General features: G+C 36.5%; 1 protein-coding gene across 14 annotated transcripts in view; it reads right to left on the reverse strand.

Annotated features, from left to right (window-relative positions):
• Positions 1 to 3,689: 3,689 nt before the first annotated feature.
• The window catches only part of SMC6 (structural maintenance of chromosomes 6), an 89,999-nt gene continuing 71,522 nt past the window's right edge, over positions 3,690 to 22,166 (reverse strand). For 8 of the 14 annotated variants that reach the window (XM_011533108.4, XM_017004913.3, XM_047445834.1 and 5 more), the window contains 5 exons: positions 21,921 to 21,977; positions 18,737 to 18,842; positions 10,301 to 10,453; positions 6,298 to 6,395; positions 3,690 to 5,491 (listed from right to left, as the gene is read on the reverse strand). In XM_011533108.4, coding sequence (XP_011531410.1) covers positions 5,377 to 5,491; positions 6,298 to 6,395; positions 10,301 to 10,453; positions 18,737 to 18,842; positions 21,921 to 21,977 — 529 coding nt within the window. In that variant the 3' untranslated portion in view covers positions 3,690 to 5,376. The remainder of the gene's footprint in view (positions 5,492 to 6,297; positions 6,396 to 10,300; positions 10,454 to 18,736; positions 18,843 to 21,920; positions 21,978 to 22,166) is intronic. The other 6 variants (XM_017004916.3, NM_024624.6, XM_047445837.1 and 3 more) reach the window with 1 other exon arrangement.

Raw genomic sequence — 22,166 nt, forward strand, 5'->3', positions numbered from 1 at the left:
GTTTAGGCTTTCTCATTGTGGCCGCCTCAGGGAAGTCGGACTGCCTCCACGCCAGCACAGGGCTCCAGCATGGGTATTCCACAGCTCAAGGCGGGACTTTCATTCCTTTTCATTGCCTTTCTGGCCCAGCCTTGGGAATTACAAAGTATCATTTTCACTGCATTCTGTTGGTTATAAGAGAGTTACAAATCTAACCAGATTAAGAAGAGAATTAGACTCTGTAAGGCAAGGTTCTGGGAGAACATGGGCGGGATTTATCCTTGTGGCCATCTTTGGAAAATACAACCTGTTACAGTGGATAAAGAATGAAGATAAAAGGAAATAAGTGATTGCTGCATGCCCCAGTGCTGAAGGTAGCCATTAGCTGATGTGCACATTTAACTAAACCCTCTGCGACTGAGTTCCATTTAAACACACATTGTATCTCAGCAACCTGAATCCTCGCTGACCTTGATATCCTAACCAGCTACTGCGGTTCCTTCAGAAAGGACTAACTGCGGGCTTCCTTTAATCAACTGGGCCTGGGTTCTACTGGTTCTAGCTTACACTCAACTGCCATTTTAATTACCATGTTAATTAGCTGTTTAAGCCCTGCTGCTGTTCTGAAGGGAAAAGGCTCCCAGGTGTCTTTTTTATTTTTTTCACAGAGTCTTGCTCTGTCACCCAGGCTGGAGTGCAGTGGCACAATCTCAGCTCGCTGCAACCTCCACCTCCTGGTTCAAGAGATTCTCCCACCTCAACCTCCCGAGTAGCTGGGATTACAGGCATATGCCACCACGCCTGGCTAATTTTTGTATTTTTAGTAGAAACAGGGTTTCACATGTTGGCCAGGCTGGTCTCAAACTCCTGACCTCAGGTGATCTGCCCACCTCAGCCTCCGAAAGTGCTGGGATTACAGGCGTGAGCCACCATGCCTGGCCAACCCCCCAAGTGTCTGATTTTCTATACTTTGTCTAGCCTCAACTCTTTCTGCATTTAGAAGTCCTAAGTTTCCATATTTCCTCTCATTCTGTAAATAACTCTTAACTATTTTAAAAGGGAAATCATACTGCTTTAAGGCCTCATTTTTCCTGTAATTCATTCATTCAGGGTTACAGTCTCTGGATGAATATAAACTAGTTTCTTAGAGTCCAGATGCTTATTTCTTCCACACGGTTGGAAATCACATCAAGAAGTAAAGCACAGGCTTAAAAAGACATCTTCAGAGAGCCTCACGGCAAAGGATGTACAGGGGTCTAGCAAGAAATGGTCAATCAGAGCTTCTAAGTAAAATGAGAAACTGTTTCCTGAGCTTCTTTTTCGAAAACAATTAAGTTTCCCACATAGTTTGGGCATGCAATTTGAATTTTTTCCCAGCATTTTGCAGGTCTTCAGTATCCTAAGTTATATTATTATTTTCCAAGTTCTTACATTTACCAATGTAAAGTTACCCATCAAGTAGGTGATTAACTAGCTGGTTAGTATTCACACAGTTACCTCAAGGTTGCATACTCAGCCCAGAGCTTTCATCTCTCCACAGGGCAGTCTGTTACTCCCTCCACTTCTGCATTGTTCCTGCCTCTGTGAATGAATCATTATTCATCCAGCTATTTAGGCCTCAGGCCCCAAGAAAATTATCCTTGATTCCTCTCTCACAACTCCAGTATTCTCATCGGGAAGTCTTGCTGCCTCTCTATTTCAAATCTGAATGTTTCTGTCTCCACCACCTTAGTCCAAGTCACCATGACCCCTTACCTGGACCACTGCAAGTCTCCAAATTGCTCATACTCTTTCCATGTTTGCTCCACTTTAATCTATTCACACAGCAGCCAAAGGATTCTTTTAAAATGCATACACCAGGTCTGTTACTTACCATAATTTTAGGGCCTCCAATGATCTCGGTCTGCCTACCTCTGAAGTTCACCCCCTACCAATCCTCCTTCCTCACTAAGCTCTATCAACACTGGCCTTACAATTCCTAGACATGAAGTTCATTCTTATCTCAAGCCCCACGCACTCATTTCTTCTGCCTGGAAGCTTTGCCTTGCACATTTTCCTCCTCATGGCTTGTTCTATCACTTGTTTCAGGCCTCTGCTCAAATATTGCCTTCTGTAGCCTTGACACTCCATTCAAAATACTGGCCGGGTGCGGTGGTTCATGCCTGTAATCCCAGCACTTTGGGAGGCCAGGGCAAGCAGATCACCTGAGGTCAGGAGTTTGAGACCAGCCTGGCCAACATGGTGAAACCCTGTATCTACTAAAAATACAAAAATTAGCTGGGTGTGGTGGCGTGCGCCTGTAATCCCAGCTGCTCAGGAGGCTGAGGCAGGAGAATCACTGGAACCTGGGAGGCAGAGGCTGCAGTGAGCCAAGATCGTACCACTGCACTCCAGCCTGGGCGACAAAGCAAGACTCTGTCTCAAAAACAAACAAACAAACAAACAAACAAACAAAACTCAGTCCTCTCTGCCCTTTCAAATCCTTACACTGCTTTATTATTATTCATAAGAATTACCAGTCACTGAGATTATGTACGGTATTGCTTGTCTAACTAGATTTCAAACTCCATGAGGACAGATTTAGTATTTTTAAATATGTGTGTAGCATTTTAAGTACTACAGTCTTCCCAGTAATTAAAAAAGTCCCTAGCTCATGGCAGGAACTTAATCATTTTTTAATGAATTAATCTCTACATTTTCAAACTGGAGAAAAATTAGGCAGAAAAAGCCCTGTTAAGCTTGCTATAATTAGTGAGTACACTCAGGCCACTCCTGTTTGCATGGATTCTATCCAGACGCCAATGCCAAAATTAGCATGCTAACTATCAATATTATATATGCTTTAGAAAACTTTATTTGCTGACTCAAAGAAACAGCTTATTTATATCCACATTATTACTTTGCCAACCCTTAAGTAACAAAACCTGTTCCTATAAATATTTTGATATATCTTCAAGTCCATGGGCATTCAGTTCAAGCCATGAAACACTGGTAACTACACTTTTAGGACTGCAAATTTCAAACCAAGTTCTCCTGAAAATCTGAACTGGTCAAAGTAGAAGGCATACATGTAGATGCATAGCTAAGTCATAAATGTAACCAAAAAAGTATTGCCCCAGCACAAAGTTTATAAACATTTTCTCCCCCACACCCTGCATCTAGTTTGCACTCAGGAGAACTTTTAATCAGATATTCTAGACCACTTGGTTTTCATCAGAGTCGGCAACATTTCTAATCCAATTCATGACTACCAGCCAACAGCTTTCTACACAGAATTTAAACATTTTGGTCTCATAAACAGCCCAGACATGAGGAAGACATGCCCCCCTGCCCCCGCAAAACAAAAAAGCACTAGGAAATGGAAGAAATGAGACACGAAAACTTGGAAAATATTTAAGAAGGCAATTACTGAATCTTTAGTGTTGATCACTAATTTGAATAACTATATTATTTACACTTTGGTTTATGAAAACTCATCACATTTGTCACTTTAAGAATGATTTTAATCATTTCTACTCCCAAAGATTTCAGAAGGTTAAGATTTAAGATCCAAGTAAGCCTTTATTATTTTCTGGAACTTCATTCAGTGATAGCTGCATTGATGACAAACTAGGGGTTGAAGAGTCACCTGTGTGATGTATTTAGGTCACGATTCATGGAGGATCAATTTAGTCAATTACTTTCCCCAATTCACAAAAGCATGACCTTAATACATATAAATTTTAAGTTTTATTTTTAGAAGTTACACATATTTTAAAAGAACAATTTCTTTTTATTCTTTCATTCTAGTAATATTATCACTACTTAGAACATTAAAGGAAGATATTTTCACTTATGATAGTTGAAATCAAAACTTTGTGAGGCCAAAGCAATGAATAATCTTCAATTCAACAAGAGATGCTGGGATACCTGAGGATTATGTTTCCCATTCTGTATGAAAGAGCACAACATTCAAAACTACAACAAAATTCAGACATGAGTTCCTTAGCTAATGAAAGTTTATGCATTTGGTATACTCTACTTCATTTTTAATTTGGAAAAGCACATGTTAAAAATAATTTTAATACAAAGGCATTATAAGTGTAAATTTAAAAATCAGACTTTGTATGATCAGTGGGAAATGTTTAAAATATTCAGCACACACTTTCCTCCTCCTGGAAATTCTGATTAGAAAGCCCAAGTTTTTGAACTTCTCATTTGGCAAACCTCAATTTAAGACTAAAGTATCTTAAACTTCTTCCTCCACCAAAAACACAAACAAAGTCCAGTTTTCCTCAATAACTAGAGAACAGTCCCTGCTCTTAATATACTGCCCTTTTTCTGAAAATAGTTCAATTTCATATTTATTCTAATATTTATTGCTACTAATGTAAGGAATGCTTCTTGATATCCAATACATTCTTAAAAAGTTTAGCATGAATCCTAGTATCAAACAAATAATACAGGGAGCAATAAAATTCATGTTTTCTAAAATAAAAAGTTCATAAATATCATTTTTTACAATAACTATATTTGGTCATTCTAAGCAGCACACTTTTTAACACCCCTCAATTAGGATGAGTCTTAGAATTGATGTCAGCTCACCATCAACTGCATGGCCTCAGGCTCCTGGAGCCATGAGCTACTCTCCTGCTCCATGAGGATCCACCCTCCACTCCCAGTTTTCCCAGCCCTTCTCCCAGCCTGGTTCTGCACAGTCCCTCTAGCCTGTGTCCTCTCAGCTGAGGACAAGCCTGAACAGTCCCTGGACTGCAAACTGAGGGCTTTTAAATCAGGCAAGCATGATGGAGGTCAGAGTGAAAAACTGCGTCATTATCCAGTTCTGATACTGGTTATAAGCTCTTGGTAGGGTGGACAGTTAAAGGACTGCAAAAAAGGCATGTGTAGAAGTTGGCAAAGCTTCAGTGTTCCGTACAAGTGTCTTATTCCCTTGCACCCCACCCTCTGCAATGAGAAATCCCTCCCTTCAACCATTTTTGGTAACTATAGAATGTAATATCTGGAAAAGCAAAACTAAATATAATCAGGTGCTCAAACTTTTATTTTCTTACAAAATGTTATAGAAATGAACCCAAACTAAACAGATATGTACATGTATATATGTACAAAATTTTACTTCTGAAAAAGAACCTATAAAAATAGATCGTATTAAAAAAACTTAAAAAGATTTAAAACCAATACTATGAAATTGATTTTCTTAAAGTAATAGTAATCTTAAATTGCAGGTTGTAGTTGGTTTTCCAGGCTTATTTATATGTTTGATTGTGGTTGGATATATAAAGGAGTTTCTTTCATTTCAGAATGCCTCCAGTCTCATTTTATTATATCAAAGAGTCCAGAATTTTTTTTCCCTTCACAAATCCTTCAACATCAGGACAAGGCATGTTAAGTTACAAATCACCTTTGGTCATCATCTTCTTCTTGAGTCACAGGTCTGAAAGGCAATGTAGTTTGTCCTCTTTCAGGATCAGACATTCGGAGAATTCTTATCAGTTTACTGGATGGAAGTGAACTAGAAGAAGCAAAATCAATTACTCAAATTTCCAAGAAACCTTTTACCAATTAAAAAAAATTCTAATATTACCTCATGAAAATATAAAGCTAAATATTTGGCTTTTATCTGGGATATATCTAATATCTAGAGTTCTAGGAGAAACATCATTTGCAATAAGGAAATAATTTGTTTTCCATTTTAAAAATTAATTCCTGCTAGATCCCATGGGTTTTCAGTTTGGAGGAAAAGAAAATGAAAGAGATTTATATATCAACTATTTTAAATTTCTGTTATTGTCTAGCAAGGAAGGAGTTACCTGGATATTCCCAATCACAAATTTAGATCCCCATATAATCACATGGCCACTTTAGAGACAGAATATTAACTCTAAGTGACATAGTGCTTGACAATTGTAGGCACCCAATAAATACTGACTGACAGCAGAGTAGAGCTCTTTGTTTAGAAAGATTGACATTTGTAAGTCACCAAGAGAAAAGAGGCAAGATTAGGGAAATCATAAATCATTTTAGTCCAAACAGAATTACTAAAATTATATTACTTTAGTTTGTCATGATAACTACAAAGAAGCAGACTCAAAACAGAATAGTAACAACTTGCTTCAGTTATGAAAGGGAAGTAATACAAGTAAAATTTTAAATATCTCAAAAAGAGAAAAACATCCCAAATCTCCTGAACCAGTAGGGGAGCTAATTTTTATTTTCATTGGTCTTGTATGTATTTGTATTTTAAAAATTAAAATTGTAAAAGATTTCTTTCCCCCTTTTATATACTTGATATGTATCTAGAAAGTTTTAAAAAGTTACCTCATGCTTTGAGGTGTGAGCAAGATAAACTGTCTAAAACGCTGGGAATCTGCCATCTTCAGTATCAAGTCCATGGCAATTCTCCTATTAACCATATCCTGAAAAACAAAGGCAAAAGTTAGGATTGCTATTGTGTAAGTCACATTTCTGTAAAAGCAGCATTCTGTGGGCTGATACAAGCTCCTGGATTTTCATCCAGGGATCAGTCATTACATTATCTATGATGTCCAAGAAATCTATTATACTGGAAAAGAAATACCAGAAACTATTAGGAGAAAATTGGCTGGGTGCAGTGGCTCATGTTTGTAATCCCAATGCTTTGAGAGGTGGAGGTCACAGGATCAATTGAGGTCAGGAGTTCGAGACCAGCCTGTGTATAATAGCGAGACCCTGTCTCTACCAAAAAAAAAAAAAAAGTTGGGCATGGTGGTGCATGCCTGTCATCCTAGCTACTCGGGAGGCCGAGGCAGGAGGATCACTTGAGCCCAGGAACTCAAGGGTATAGTAAGCTATGATCGCACCATTGTACTCTAGCCTGAATGACAGAGTGAAAGCCCATCTCTAAGGGAAAAAAGAGAAACTCTTCGGGGACAATAACTGAATAAATATGTCTTTCAGGTAATTTCTATAGTCAAAATATTTGTATACACAGCCCCCTCCCTCAAATACGTGTAGCAATTGAAATAATCAGAAAATATTCTCCTGACACAACTAAATGTTAGAGAATAAATCTAATTTGTACAGTAATGGTTAATGAGTCAGGGTAATGGTAACAAAAGTGGCTAGTCTCAAATTCATTAAGTCTCTCAAATTTTCCCTCAATGATAAAGGTTAAGTTTTAAAAAGTCTGCCTCTCCCCATTACCTCTACCATTTGTACAATATAAACCAATTTGAACTTACAGACCAATTTCTCAATTATATCTTTAAATAAGTTAAATAGCACATCAGGGTATAGACAAAGAATAATGCTTCGTTATAATAGGTTTTGGGATTAAATGGTCTAGACCTGTGGCTACATTTTCTGAGTTAAGTAACAGTAAAAGAAAATCAAAGTGTTCCTCAATTCCCTTGAAAATTCCTAAAAGTTGAAATCATTGACATATGAACATGTATATTTTAAAGGTCTTAATTTAATACTATATGTGGTGCCGGGCGCAGCAGCTCATGCCTTTAATCCCAGCACTTTGGGAGATTGAGGCAGGTGGATCACTTGAGGCCAGGAGCTCGAGATCAGCCTGGCCAATATGGCAAAACCCAGTCTCTACAAAAAATACAAAAATTAGCCGGGCATGGTGGTGCACACCTGTAATCCCAGCTACTCAGGTGGCTGAGTCACAAGGATCAATTGAATCCAGGAGGCGGAGGTCGCAGTGAGCTGAAATCACGCCACTGCACTCCAGCCTGGGTAACAGAACGAGACTGTGTCCTGAAAAAAATAAGTAAATAAATAAAAAATAAAACTGTATGTGGCAATACAGCATGGTGATTTAGAACAAGGGCTGTGGAGTCAAAATGGGATACACATCCTGGCTATATTGCTCAATGGCTCTGATTATAACAATTCCATCAGGCATATCTGCTGTGAGAGGCCTATTATTTTATAACAAAACTGCCAAAGTACCAAAAAAAAATTTGTTTTCCTTGGATTAGCTCACAGAACTTGGATACATTCTTCTGAATAATTTCATTGGGGCAAAGTGCCACTCTGATTAAGAAGCTCTAAGTTTCTGAAAGAGAAAGGAGCTGCTTAGAATTAAATCTGACATACAAGATGAGTGATAAGACTGCACAGCACCATTCTGGACAAAAACACTGCATGGAAAGAATAATCATCTTCTATGACTCGTGATTAGCTCTGAAGACAATTCTTGGAGGAATATCTAACCCATTTTCAGCAATAGTATCATAGAAAAAAATTGACACTGAACTATTATACAGCACTCACAGGTATAAATTCTGATTCACGAATACACACTTACTAAACGGTCATTATAGACTAGGCATTAGGAGACATAAACATCTCAGACATAGCTGATAACCTCAAAATGGTTACAATCTGGTAGGGGATTCAGATATAAAAATGGGCAACTGCAACAGAATAAAAAACAGTATAAAATATTATATAATAATATAAAGCATTTTTATATTTTTATCTTAAATAAAAGTATAAAAGTAATATATATTATGAGTTGATGTAAGGTGGTGCAAAGGAAGTTCTGAGAAGTTCCTCATCCTGCCTGATAGGGTATGGTGGTCACAGAAGTCTCATAAAAGTGGCATTTGAACAATGTCCTGAAAGATGAGTAGAGTGACATGTGATTAAGGAGGGCATACCAGGCAGAGGCACCATGTTTGGAGAATTACAAATAGCTTAGAACAGCTGAAAAAAGCAGGCAGGTACGATATCATGAAGGGTCTCAAAGCTACCCTACAGAATTAAACATTTATTCCATATATAATAACCTCCAAAGGGTTTTACATAGGTGAATGACCACCATCAGATCAACTGTAGAAATGTAAACCTGCCAAAATGGTGGAGGACGGACCGAAGAAGGAGCCACATGCAAGCCTGGGAGTCCGGAGAAGAGGCTATCACCACAGGTATGAGGCGAAGATAAGGGGATGAGAGGAAGAATATCAGTGAGAAAGGAGAAGAGGGCAGAGACCAAAGAGCGGTCTTAAAGGAGAAGCGGACAGAGGTCAGACTTGAACAAGGAAGAATCAAAGGTAAATCACAGATGTCAAAGGTAGGTGACTGCGCTGGAAATGACAGTTTGCATTAATCAAGGTAGGGAATTCAGGAAAAGAAAGAGGCTTTGAGATGAAGGCACTTTCAACCTCGGGGCTGCTGAATTTCAGATATTGGTGGTTTACCAGGTGATGTCTAATAGGTAGTAGGGCATCTGGGTCTAGAGTACAGGAGAGATGTCAGGATGTGGTGCTATGAGTTGATAGGTATCTGTCCATACGCAGGTAGTAGTTTTGGGGACTGTGATATGTGTATATTTGTAGGGGGAAGTAGGATATGGAATTCAGGAAAATCAACAACACTATAACAAGCAAACAAAGATCTCAAACGTTTAAGGGCAACAGAATTAGGGGAGGCAGCTTGGCAGATTAAGAACAAATAATAGAAAAACAGGAAAACCAGGAAAGAGAGGGTGGCAGCTGGTAAGAAGACATTTTAAGGGATGGAGGATAGGTCTGTGGTGTCAAATACTTCAAAAAATAAGGTAAGATTAAAGCTCATTTATAACCTTTGCTAAACAAGTTTTGCTAGAGTAGTGTCATCTACATCCAGATTACAGTAGATTGAGCAAACAATGAGATATGAAGAAGAAAATAATTGCTAATTTATGAGAACTTACTATATGCCTGAACCACAGTAAGTATAATGTATGAAAGACACCATTTGAGCCTCACTCTAACCATGAGAGGTAGGAATTGGTAATAATATTGTTTTGTAGATGAAGAAATTGAGACCCAATAAGTAGAGATATTTTGCCTGTCAGAGGTAGGTCTCAAATCCTATGCTTTTTAACTGGAAATTCAAAAGTTCTTGCTCGCTTATGTTCTGTACATTGTTCTGAAATGTGTGGGTATGAAGGAACAGTAAACAGTGGCTAGGGTGAGTCAAAGCCAGGGTGGTGAACAGGTTATAATTTTGTATTAAAACAAAAAGTCTGAACATATTTATGGGTTGATGAAAATAAGCTGGGAGAGAGGGTGAGGGAGAAAACGCAGATATGATGGAAGGCACGGATATCCATGCTGGGCGAGAAGAGGAGGACCCCTCCAGGGTCTCTAGGGTTACTGTGTGCCTAGAAGCAAGGGAGAGAACTCTAGTTCTTTAGTTCTTCCCCACTACTGGTCACAGACTAAAGAGTCAGGGCAGGATCTTTCCTGTTAGGGGTAAAACTAAAGAAAGATTTCCTTCCTTTAGAAATACATGTTTCAAACAAACAAAAAAATGAAAAAGAGAATTTAAAATTTAACAATACCATGTAGACATCAAATTCATCCAGGCATCTGAAAGGAGATTCTGCGATGGACCACAGGGAAAGAATAAAACACACTGTGGAGAAAGAACGTTCACCTCCAGACAAGGCTCTCATGTCATTGAAAGCAGCTTTATTTCCTTCTCCAGGCTGAACCTTGAAGAGAATGAGTTGACAAGGAACAAAAAACTAAGTAAATGAAAGGCCAGATTAAATTCTTTACAAGACAGATAAATAATAGATTTACAGTAAAAAGGAGATGGGAATAAAATGACTTAGTGATTTGGAAATACCCATTCCTTTCAAAAAATTTTACAGTAAAACAGTTATACGTATAATGGTACTTCTTGCTCTACTGCAAGAGAATAAAACTGAAAACCTTTTTCACCATAACTGAATCTAACAGACCAAAATTCCAAAGGCTAATTTAAAAAATGTTAATAAAACAATTTTTTTTCTGAAACAGGGTCTCGCTCTGTTGAACCAGGCTGGAGTGCAATGGTGTGATCTTGGCTCACTGCAACCTCTGTCTCCCAGGCTCAAGCAATCCTCCCACCTCAGCCTCCCAAGTAGTTGGGACCACAGGAGTATGCCACCACGGCCAGCTAATTTTTGTGTTTTTTTTTTTTTTCTGGGTGGAGTTGAGGTTTCTCCATGTTGCCCAGGCTGGTCTTGAACTCCTCGGTTCAAGCAATCCTCCCATCTCAGCTTCCCAAAGTGCTGGGATTACAGGTGTAAGCCACCACACCTAACCCTGAAACTTAAGCTTCAAACATTTAAAAGTGCTGAGATTTTTTGTTACTTGAATTATAGTGACACCTAGTGGTTAAGCTGCATTAAAAGTGATTACTGAACGTCAAAAGGACAGAAATCAACTTTAAAAAGCTTACACTGGCCAAAGAAATGCATTGAAATATATCTTTTAAAAGATTTAAAGGATTGCTTTAGGAATCCTTTAAAGGAACCCTAGAAGTTCGAGACCAGCCTGGGCAACATGGGGAAACCTCATCTCCACACACACACACACAAAAATACAAAAACTAGCTGGCCATGGTGGCATACTCCTGTGGTCCCAACTACTTGGGAGGCTGAGGTGGGAGGATTGCTTGAGCCTGGGAGACAGAGGTTGCAGTGAGCCAAGATCATGCCATTGCACTCCAGCCTGGTCGACAGAGCGAGACCCCGTCTCAAAAAAAAAAAAAAAAAAAAAAAAATTTCTTTTGTATTGTATTTATTTTGAATTCTAAATAAAATCTTTTAAAATTTAAATAATTTTAAATTTCTTTTAAAAGCTAAATAAAATCTTTAAAAAATTATTTACTAAATAAAGGTCCATGGAAACAATAAGAAAGCAACTAATAAAATTAACAGCAAATCATTCACACAATTTCCTGAGAATATACAATAACATTAGGAAGGGTTCTATTTTTTTGACAAAATTCCAGATATACATATATGCATACAAGGTGAAAAAAGAGCAACAACTAGTTTCATATCAATAGCAGACATATAGCTTCCAATACTTTTCAATTCACTGTTTGAAAAGTGATACTGCTCTCAAGTGAGCATTCATTTATTTTTTAATATTAACATTATTAATATTCTAAGGTAAATATTCCAATTCTAAACATACTCTAAAATTTTACACCTATCATAAGTCTAAACAAACCAAACCAACAATCAAGCAAATAAAAATTCCCATATAAAAAAGCAAGAACTAAATACCAAGATGCAATCTTGCCCCCACACTGTATTTTGCACCAATTTAATAAATGAAGCCCCAAGTAAATCTGGGGGATCTAGCTTTTACCCTCTCATCTATTACTAACATATCATGGAACTTCAGTGTCACTTTCCTTATTAGTAAAATGAAGGCCACATAAATTAAAGATTCTTCTGGTATTCTTTTGAAAAACAGAGATGACAACATCAGAAAGTCTAGCTTGAGTTGTTTTGTATAGTTAGCTGTGGAGATAAATTATTCAAGCACTTCTAATACTTTTTTTTCTCCATTTTTTTATTACAGTAATAGTTTTTATAAAGAACACAAAAGTGTACAACTCAATTTTTACATGAATACATACACACACCTGGGTAACCACTACTGAGATCAAGACACAAGAATATCCCCAGCATCTAAGCAAACTATTTGTATATTACCATCCCTGAAAAGGTAACTATTATTCTGATTTTAATCACCCAAAATCACTCTTAACAGTTTCTGAACTTCATATGTAGAGGTTACACATACTCTTTTGTACATATACTTCAGATTTATATACACTATGTACATCCTTGTAACTGGCTTCTCTCACTCGCCATTGTCAGATCATCTATGTTGTGTGCAACAGCAGTTTGTTATTTTCATTACGGAACAGTATGTCGCTGTTTGAATATACCCGAATTTATCCATTTGACTCTAGGTAGACACTGGGTTTCTCAGTTTTGGGCTATGATAAATAAAACTTCTTTGAACATTTTCAAATATATCTGTTTGAGAAAATAAGCACTAATTTTTTCTTGGGTTTATGCCCAAGAATGGAGCTGCTTTAACAGACATCGACAGAGAGGTTTCCAAATTAGTTTGACCAAGTTACACTCCCACAAGCAATATATGAGAGTTGCAATTCCACATCCTCACCAGCACAAAATATTGCCAGTCTTGTTCATTTTCATCATCATCATAACGGTGTGACAGTAACTTACTGTGGTATAAATAATATTTCTCTGATGACTAACAGCGCTTTTTCATGTGTTTACTCACCATTTAGATACTTTAAAGTGGTTTCTATTTAAGCCTTTTGACTATTTTAAATGTGATGTCAGTCTCTTTCTTACTATTTTTTAATTCTAGGTAAGTCTTTTGTTGCATGTATGCATCACAAATATCTTTTCCTAGTCTGTAGCTTCTTTTATCACTTAATGTTACTTTTTGATGAAGTTCTTAATTTTAATAAAGTCCAAATTATCAATCTTTTCTTTTGAGTAGGTTGCTTTTTGTGTCCCATTCAAAAAAACATGAAGACATTCTCTTCCTCTAGAAGCTTGTTTTAAATTTAGGTCTATGATCAACTTCTAAATTACTTTTTGTATATAAAGTTAGGGGGTCAAACTTTGCTTACTGTTTATTATTTAAAAAAAAATTTTTTTTTTTAAATTTTTTTTTTGAGACAGAGTTTCGCTCTTATTGCCCAGGCTGGAGTGTAATGGTGTGATCTCGGTTCGCTGCAACCTCCGCCTCCCGGGTTTAAGCGATTCTCCTGCCTCAGCCTCCCGAGTAGCTGGGATTACAGGCATGTGCCACCATGCCCAGCTAATTTTGTATTTTTAGTAGAGATGGGGTTTCTCCATGTTGGTCAGGCTAGTCTCAAACTCCCCACCTCAGATGATCCACCCACCTCAGCCTCCCAAAGTGCCGGGATTATAGGCATGAGCCACCACGCCCGGCCGCTTACTGTTTATTTTACCAAAAGGATATCCAACAATTTGAACCTAACACCATTCATGAGAAGACCACCCTCTTCCACAGGCTTGCAGTGGAGTCCTGTCATTACATATATGTATGATTTATGCACACAGGTAAGGTCCTCCTCAGGTGTCTATTGTTTCATTGCTATTGTACATTTGCTTTCTACTCTCCAATTTCTGCTCTTATATCACTGTATCCTTCTCTCTACTTGAATTTATAATAGGCTTTTTTCCTTTTAGCATCCTGAGATAGAACTTAGATCATTAATGTTCAGCCCTCCATTTTTACTAATGTATATATTTAGAGCTATAAATTCCCTTCTGAGAAATCCTATGGCTGTATCATACAAGTTTTGATGTTTTCTTTTTATTGTTGTTTGATTCAAAATTATCTTCTAATTTCTATTTGATTTCTTTTTTGACCTACAGATTACATAGAAATGTGCTGCCTAATTTTCTAACATTCATTAAGTTTTAAGGTTATCTGTTATTTCTAATTTAATTCCACTTTACAATATATTCTGTATGACATCAATCCTTTGAAATTTGTTGACATTTGCATTATAGCCAGGAAATGGTCTATTTTGGTAAATGTTCCACATGTACTTCAAAACAATATACACTCTGTGGTAGTTTGGCACAATGTTCTATAGTTCTGCCAATTAATTTGGTTGTGTAATTTAAATCTTATATTGCCTTACTGACTTTTAATCTGATTGTTCTATCCATTATTGAGAAAAGTTTATTAAAATTTCCAACTGTAATTGTCAATTCTTTTACTTTGCCTTTTAGTTCTCCCAATTTTTATGTATTTTGAAGCTATGTTATTAGGTATATACAAATTAAAAATTTTTTAAAATAACTTTTATAACCATGAAATGGCCCTTTTGGCCTCTAGTAATATTTCTTGCATAAAGTCTATTTTGTTATTATTACAGCTTAACCAGCTTCCCTTTGGCTAATGTTTTCATGGTGTATCTTTTACCATATTTTACTTAGGATCTTCTCTGTCCTTATGTTAATATTTAAGGTGTATTTTGATAAACAGCATACAGTTAGTTTTTGTATTTTTCTTTTCAGCCTGTTTTTAATTTAATAATTTAGTGCACTTACACTTAATGTAATTGCTGATATATCTAGATCTGAGCCATGCATCTCCTTTCAATTTGTTCCATATGTTCTTTATTTCTCTTCCCTTTTTGCCTTCATATAATTGAGTATTTTTGTTTTCCATTCCTTTTATTTGGTCTCTGTTAGCTTTAAAATTATACATCCTTTTAAAATTCAGTGGTTACTCTAGAGATTGCAATATGTATTGCTGATGTATTAGTTTATCTTAAATTAGTATTGGTATTACTTCCTGAAAAGTATAAGAACCTTACAACAGTTTAGAACTCCATGTACTTCTATTCCCTTTTTGTGCTATTGTCATATATTTGACTTTTACAGCTTCTAAGCCCCTCAAGACTTGGGTGTCTATTCAGCAATATTATTATTGTTGATTTAGACGGCTGAAACTGTTTTGTATTTACCCATAGATTTACCTTTTGCATTCCTCTCTGTTCCTTCTGCATTTCCATGTTTCCATCTGTGACCATTTTTCTTTCATCTGAAGATGTTCTTTAGTATTTCTTGTAGGCCAAGCATACTGAAGAATAATTATTTCAGCTTTTGTTTGTCTGAAAACTAAGATGTTTCATCCTCATTTTTGAAAGGTAGTTTTGCTAGTTATTGAATTCTAGATATCAGTTTTTAAAACCAATTCTGCTAGCACTTTAAAGTCTGTCAGGTAACATTTACCTTCACAATTTCTGTTAAAAACTCTGCCTTTGGTTTTATTGTTGCTCTTTCGAAACTAATGCATATTTTTTCTCTTGCTACTTACAAAAAGGTAAGGTTACCTCTTTGTTTTTGGTTTTCAGCTATTTGACTATCATATAAATTTCAGGTATGGTTTTCTTTATATTTACCTCACTTGTAGGTTGCTGAGGTTTCTGAATCTAGATTGATGTATTTCAGTTTTGAAAATTCTCAAACATTCTCTCTTCAAATATTCTTTCTGCTCATTCTTTGTTCTATCCTATCGGGACTCCAATTATGTTAAACTTGCTGGTTGTGCTCCTCATATCTCAAACTCTGTTCAGTGTTTTCTGTTTTTATGCTGTTCAATTTAGATATTTCCTTTCGACCTGCCTTGATTTGTTAATTGTGTCTTCTGTTGTGTCCAGTTGGCTGTTAAATCCATCCAATGAGTTCTTAATTTCAGATGCTGCACTTTTCAGTTTTAGAATATTCTTGTAGCTTCCAATTCTGTATTGAAATTGTGGATTCCAATTCTATGTTGAAACTCTGGATCTGTTTTGTCCATTTTGTTTATGATTAACTCTATGTTCTTTAACAAATTAATCATGGTTAAAAATACTAGTCTGCTTTCTCTTGTAATTATCATCTGGTAGTCTGGTTCTATTTCCTACTTTAAAAAAAATTATCAATCACCTTTCCATGCTTCTTCATATATGTGGCAATTTTTACAGCTTTAAATATAAATGAAATATAATAAGCTGCATATATTTAAAGTGTACAATTTGATAAGTCTTCCAATTTTATTCTTCATTTTCAAAGTTGTTTTGGCTATTTTAGGCCCTTTGCATTTCTATATGAATTTTAGGATCAGCTTGTCAATTTCTACAAAAACGTCTGCTGGCATTTTAATGAAAATTGAGTTGAGGCAGTCTGTATATCAATTTGGGAAGAACTTACTTCTTAATAATACTGAGTCTTCTGATCTAACAACACCCTATATCTCTCCACTTATTTAGGTCTTCTTTAGCTTCTCAGCATCTATTTTAGTAGTTTTCAGTGTACAGGTCTTAAATATCTCTGGCAGATTTTTCCCTAGGTAGTTTATATTTTTGATGCTAATATAAATAGTATTTTTTAAAATTTCAATTTCTAATCATTTGGTGCAAGTACATAGAAATGTAATTAATTTTTGCATACTGATTGTGTCTGCAACCTTGCTAGTTATGACTTCAACTAGTTCTAGTAGCTCTTTTTGTAGATTCCATCAGATTTTCTGCAGAGATAACCATATTATTTGTGGATCAGAAGAATTTTACTTCTTCTGTTCCAATATACATGCCTTTAGTTCTTTTTCTGGGCTAACTGCACTGGCTAGAACCTTTAGTTCTACTTCTGAATATAAATGGTGAGCGTGGACAGAACTGCTTTCTTCCTGATCTTAGGGGTAAGCACGCAGTCTTTATTACCTTATGCTTGATATTTTGTGTAAAAGAACAATGGCGTCTCCAAACGTACAATATTTCACTAAAGAGGGGCCCCCTTTCCTTATATTAGGCTTGAGGTATGATAGGGCTCACAGTCAATAAGGGAGAAAGCTGGGTTGGGCTTAAATTGCAACTTTCCTAAGACTTAGTCCATTTATCATTCATAACTGTTCCTTGGGCCAACTGTGCACAACATCAGAACTCAGGAATTGACTAACTGAAATATTAGTTAGGTGCCTAGCAGTTCCCTTCCCAAGTTTCTACTCTGTCTTGTCAGCCCTCCTACTACTACTAGACTACTCAAAGTCCAGAATCAGCAAACACTCCCAGGAAAGAAAACGTCCAGCAATTGTCAGCTTACCTTGGACAGGCTCCCCTATCCCTTGGAATTCCAATTTGTCTACTCATTATTGCTTAGACAGCTTTCCAATGTCTTTAAAAATAAAAGTTTTGTAATTTCCCTGGCTTTTTTATAGTCTGCAGTGAGAACAATAGACTACCATGACATACTACCTTCCCTATCAATAAGCACAATTCCTCCCAATACTTTCAAAATTGTATCTTTAATAAATGGGTCTTTTAAAAACCAAAGGCAGGTAAAGAGGAGTTACCCATGATCTACCAGTAGAAATTAAAGAGAGAGTAAAAGTTAACTTTCTAATATGGTTAAAATGCAGAGCTTTTAAACAAAAAAGATGTTCCAAAAATTTAACATTTATTGTAAGTATTAAAATGAAAGGATAAGATTTATGGTAACTAAGAGTAGTAGGTAATTATTTGAAAATTCTGCCCCAGAATATTTAGAGTGGATAGTTGTTCCTGACCTCCTGGCTACACATTTTTTTTAATGCCATATCTCCATATGCCCTCTTTTAACACATGACTATGAAAGAACCCATCAAATCAAGTTGAACACGGCAGTTTTTTTTACTCAAAAGTGGCCAGATCTAGGGACAACTTCAGAAGTAAATAGTATAAACACAATTAAGTGGGGAAGAACCATCTTTGCTTCCTTTTAGGAGACTGGAGACTATGTACTTTCCATAAAGTCCCAAATAATTTAAAATGCTGTGTAAATTTTAAAAGGGAACTAGTGGAGTAGAAAGACAAGGTAAATACTTGTCACTGAAAAAAACTTCCCAATTATCACCCTAAGAAAATAATGTGTTTGTCTAAAAATAAAATCTACGCTAGCAGCTTTATTTAGTAAGATCGATTTAAATTCAACACCTTGGCAAAGACCATCCTTAACTTAAAAATCAAAGACAACAGGTTAAAGTTTATCAATGTTTTATCAAAAGAAAAGCAGCAGGCTGGGCATGGTGGCTCACACCGATAATCCCAGCACTTTGGGAGGCCAAGGCAGGAGAATTGCTTGAGGCCAGGAGTTTAAGACCAGCTTGGGCAACATAGTGAGACCTTGTCTATACGGAAAAAAAAAAAAAAAAAAAATTAGCTGGGCATGGTGGCATGCACCTATACTCCTAGCTACTTGGGAGGCTGAGGCAGGAGGGTCGCTTGAGCCTATGAGTTCAAGGTTACAGTGAGCTATGATTGTACCACTGCACTCCAGCCTGGGCAACAGAGTAAGACTCTGCCTCTAAAAAAAACCCAACAAAAATAGAAAAGAAAAGAAACAACTAGTTTTTCTAATGATTAGGATGAAAAGAATTAGGATACTTACTGATATACTTAGAGTTTCATTCTTGTGGTCAAAATTCATTTTTCCACAATAGGCCCGCTGAGATAGTAAGTTGTCAAAGTATAATTTGCATCGTAAAGTCAAACACCTTGAAATTTAAAAATTAGGCACATTAAAAAGAGGGCAAAGGTTTTTTAAAAACTATATTCAGCATGATCTAAGCATGTGAGAAAACCAGATGGAAATATGCCAAAATGTAAACATTGGTTACTCATTTAATAGTTGAGTTTTAGGTAGTATTTTTTGCCTTGTGTCTTTATATTCATTTATGTCCCTACACTTTCACCAGTTCATTTACTTTTATAACAAAAAAATTAATGAAATGAATTAAAGAGTCATCTCACATTTAATATAACCCATTATACCACAGTCAGTGCTTAGGAATGCATCAGTCATTCAACTAATTAATAATCTAAGGCATTACCCTAATACATTATAAAGGTATCTTGTCCTTGAGAGGATTAACTGTAATGGTGACAAGATAAATGGACAAAGTATCTATTTATTTGCCTCCTTCTAACTTCACAGTAGCAAAAAAGCTAAGGGCACTCTCTTAAGCACTGGGTACCTCTAATGCCTTACACTTTGCTTGGCACAATGCAAACTCTATCTTTCCTTCTCTATATATTAGATGGCATTTTACTGTAAGGAACTTTCCCTTCTTCCTCAGTTCTTTATTTCCTTATCTAACTTTCTATTTATCAGAATAGATTAGGGAGTCTGATATTCATTGGCTTTATTTTTACATTATTCACACCATCTATTACTATCCTTATTGAGATCCTCAGACTGTCCTAGATTTTTCCAATGGGCACCCCTTCAAGCTGGATGTGTCCCCCCTTTTTTTTCTCAGCCCTTCCTTCCTCTCTGCCATAGTATGAGGCTCATCTGTACCTTCCCTGCCCAGCTCTGGAATCGCCATTTCTCCATGGAGCCCTGGTTCCTTTTAGTGGGGAATGGTATTTAGAAAATAAAATCTGCATGGTAAGTCACTGGCTGTGGTTTCATAACATCTTTGCTCCCTAGTAAACCTAAGGCTCATTTCTCTGGTACTCTTTTCCTTCCTATTTCCCTCCCTGAACTGCATTAAATTCCCACACTAGAAATCACTGATAGCCTGAGTTTCCTTCTGCTGCCACAGCAACCACTGCTAGCTGGTTTTCAGAGTTTTCTGTTAACTTTTCTTTCAATACAGATATGTATTCATTCATTGCTTCCATTCATGGGATGTCTAAAAGAGACTGTTGTCATAAAATGGCAAAGTTCTCCAGAGTAAAGACATAAACAATTTTAAAAATTAGGTCATTTTTACTCCCCTTCTAAGACTGGGTAAACAATATGAAATATGTCAGTGGTGAAGAATCATATGAAGGTAATACAGCATACTTCAGAAATACTGCAGGTTCAGTTCCAGACTACCACAAAAAAGGCGAATATTGCAATAAAGTGAGTCACACACATTTTTTGGTTTCCCACTGCATACAAAAGTTTTGTTTACACTGTTGTTGATATTTTGACTTCCTCCCATGAATCATAAATGTTCTTAATGCTATCTAGAATGATGAGTCCTTTCCAGAAGGTTTTCAATTTACTTTGCTCAGATCGATTAAAGGTATCACTACGTACAGCAGCTATGGTCTTACAAAATATATTTCTCAAATAAAAGACTTGAAAGTTAAAATTACTCCTTGATCTATGGGTTACGAATAGATGTTAGTAGGCAAGAAAACAACATTAATCTCCTTGTATATCATATCAGCTCTTGGGTGACCAGGTGTACTGTCAATGAGCAGTAACATTTTCAAAGAAATATTTTCTTCTGAGCCGTAGGACTCAATAGTGGGCTTAAAATATTCAGTAATCCATGATACTATAAACAGATGTGCTCTCATCAGGCTTTGTTTTTCCATTTGTAGAGCACATACAAAGTAGATTTAGCACAATTCTTAAGGGTCCTAGGATTTTCAGAATGGTAAATAAACATTGGCTTAAACTTAAAGTCACTAGCTTCATTTGCCTCTAATAAGAGATTTGGCCTGTCCTACAAAGCCAGGAATTGACTTCTCCTTTCCAGCTATGAAAGCCGTAGATCGTATCTTCTAATACAAGGCTGTTTTGTCTGTGTTGAAAATCCATTGTTTAGTGTAGCCACTTTCATCAGTTATCTTAGTCAGTTCTTCTGGATAATGTGCAGCTTCTACATCAGCGCTTGCTGTTTCACCTTGCACTTTTATATTACAAAGACGGCCTCTTTCCTTCAACCTCATGAACAAACCTCTGCTAGCGTCATACTTTTCTTCTGCAGCTTCCTCACCTTTCTCAGCCTTCATCGAATTGGAGAGTTAAGGCATTGCTCTGGATTAGGTTTTGACTTAAGGGAATGTTGTAGCTGCTTTGATCTTCTATCCAGACCATTGGAACTTTCTTCATATCAACAATAAGGCTGTTTAATTTTCTTATCATTAGTGTATTCACTGGAATAGCACTTTTAATTTCCTTCAAGAACTTTTCCTTTGCATTTACAACTTGGCTAACTGGCACAAGAGGTCTAGCTTTTGGCTTATCTTGGCTTTTGACATACCTTCCTCACTAAGCTTAATCATTTCTAGCTTTTGATTTAAAGTGATAGAAATCCTACTCTTCCTTTCACTTGGACACTCAGAGGTCACTGTAAGGCTATTAACTAGCCTAATTTCAATATTGCTGTGTCTCAGGGAATAGGGAGACCCAAGGGGACAGAGAGATGAGGGAATCAATAGCCAGTCAGTGGAGCAGGAAGAACACACACAACATTTGTTGATGAAGTCTGCTGTCTTATATGGGCAGTCTGTGGCACCCGAAAACAATTTGAACAGTAACAAAGATCACTGATGACAGATCACTACAACAGATTAATAATAATGAAAAAGTCTGAAATATTGCAAAAATTAAACAAAATATGACACAGAGACATAAAGGGATCATATGCTGTTGGATAAATGGTGCTGACAGACTTGGTTGAAGCAGGCTTGCCATAAACCTTCAATTTGTAAAAAATGAAATATTTGTAAAGTGCAGTAAAGTGAACTGCAGTAAAATGAGGTATGCCTGTAAACTGTAAGATCAGTACTTTAAAAAAACCTTTTAAATACAAATTTCTGAGTAATGATATAAAAATAAATCTTACTGCATCTGGAACAGATTTATGTAGTAATAGAGATTGGGTTTATTCTTCTGCCTGAAACTAAAAAACGAGACAAAATATATAAAACAAGCATTTTCAGACTCTGGCTATCTTCAGGCTCCACATCTAATTCTAGTTCTCTTGCCACTTCCACCATATCTGCAGTCACTTCCTCCACTGAATCCCTCAAGGACATCCAAGGGGGTTGAAATTAACTTCTTCCAAACTCTGAGGGTTTTCACACTCTGG

The sequence above is a fragment of the Homo sapiens genome, chromosome 2, assembly GCF_000001405.40.
Source record: "Homo sapiens chromosome 2, GRCh38.p14 Primary Assembly".
Lineage (NCBI taxonomy): Eukaryota > Metazoa > Chordata > Mammalia > Primates > Hominidae > Homo > Homo sapiens.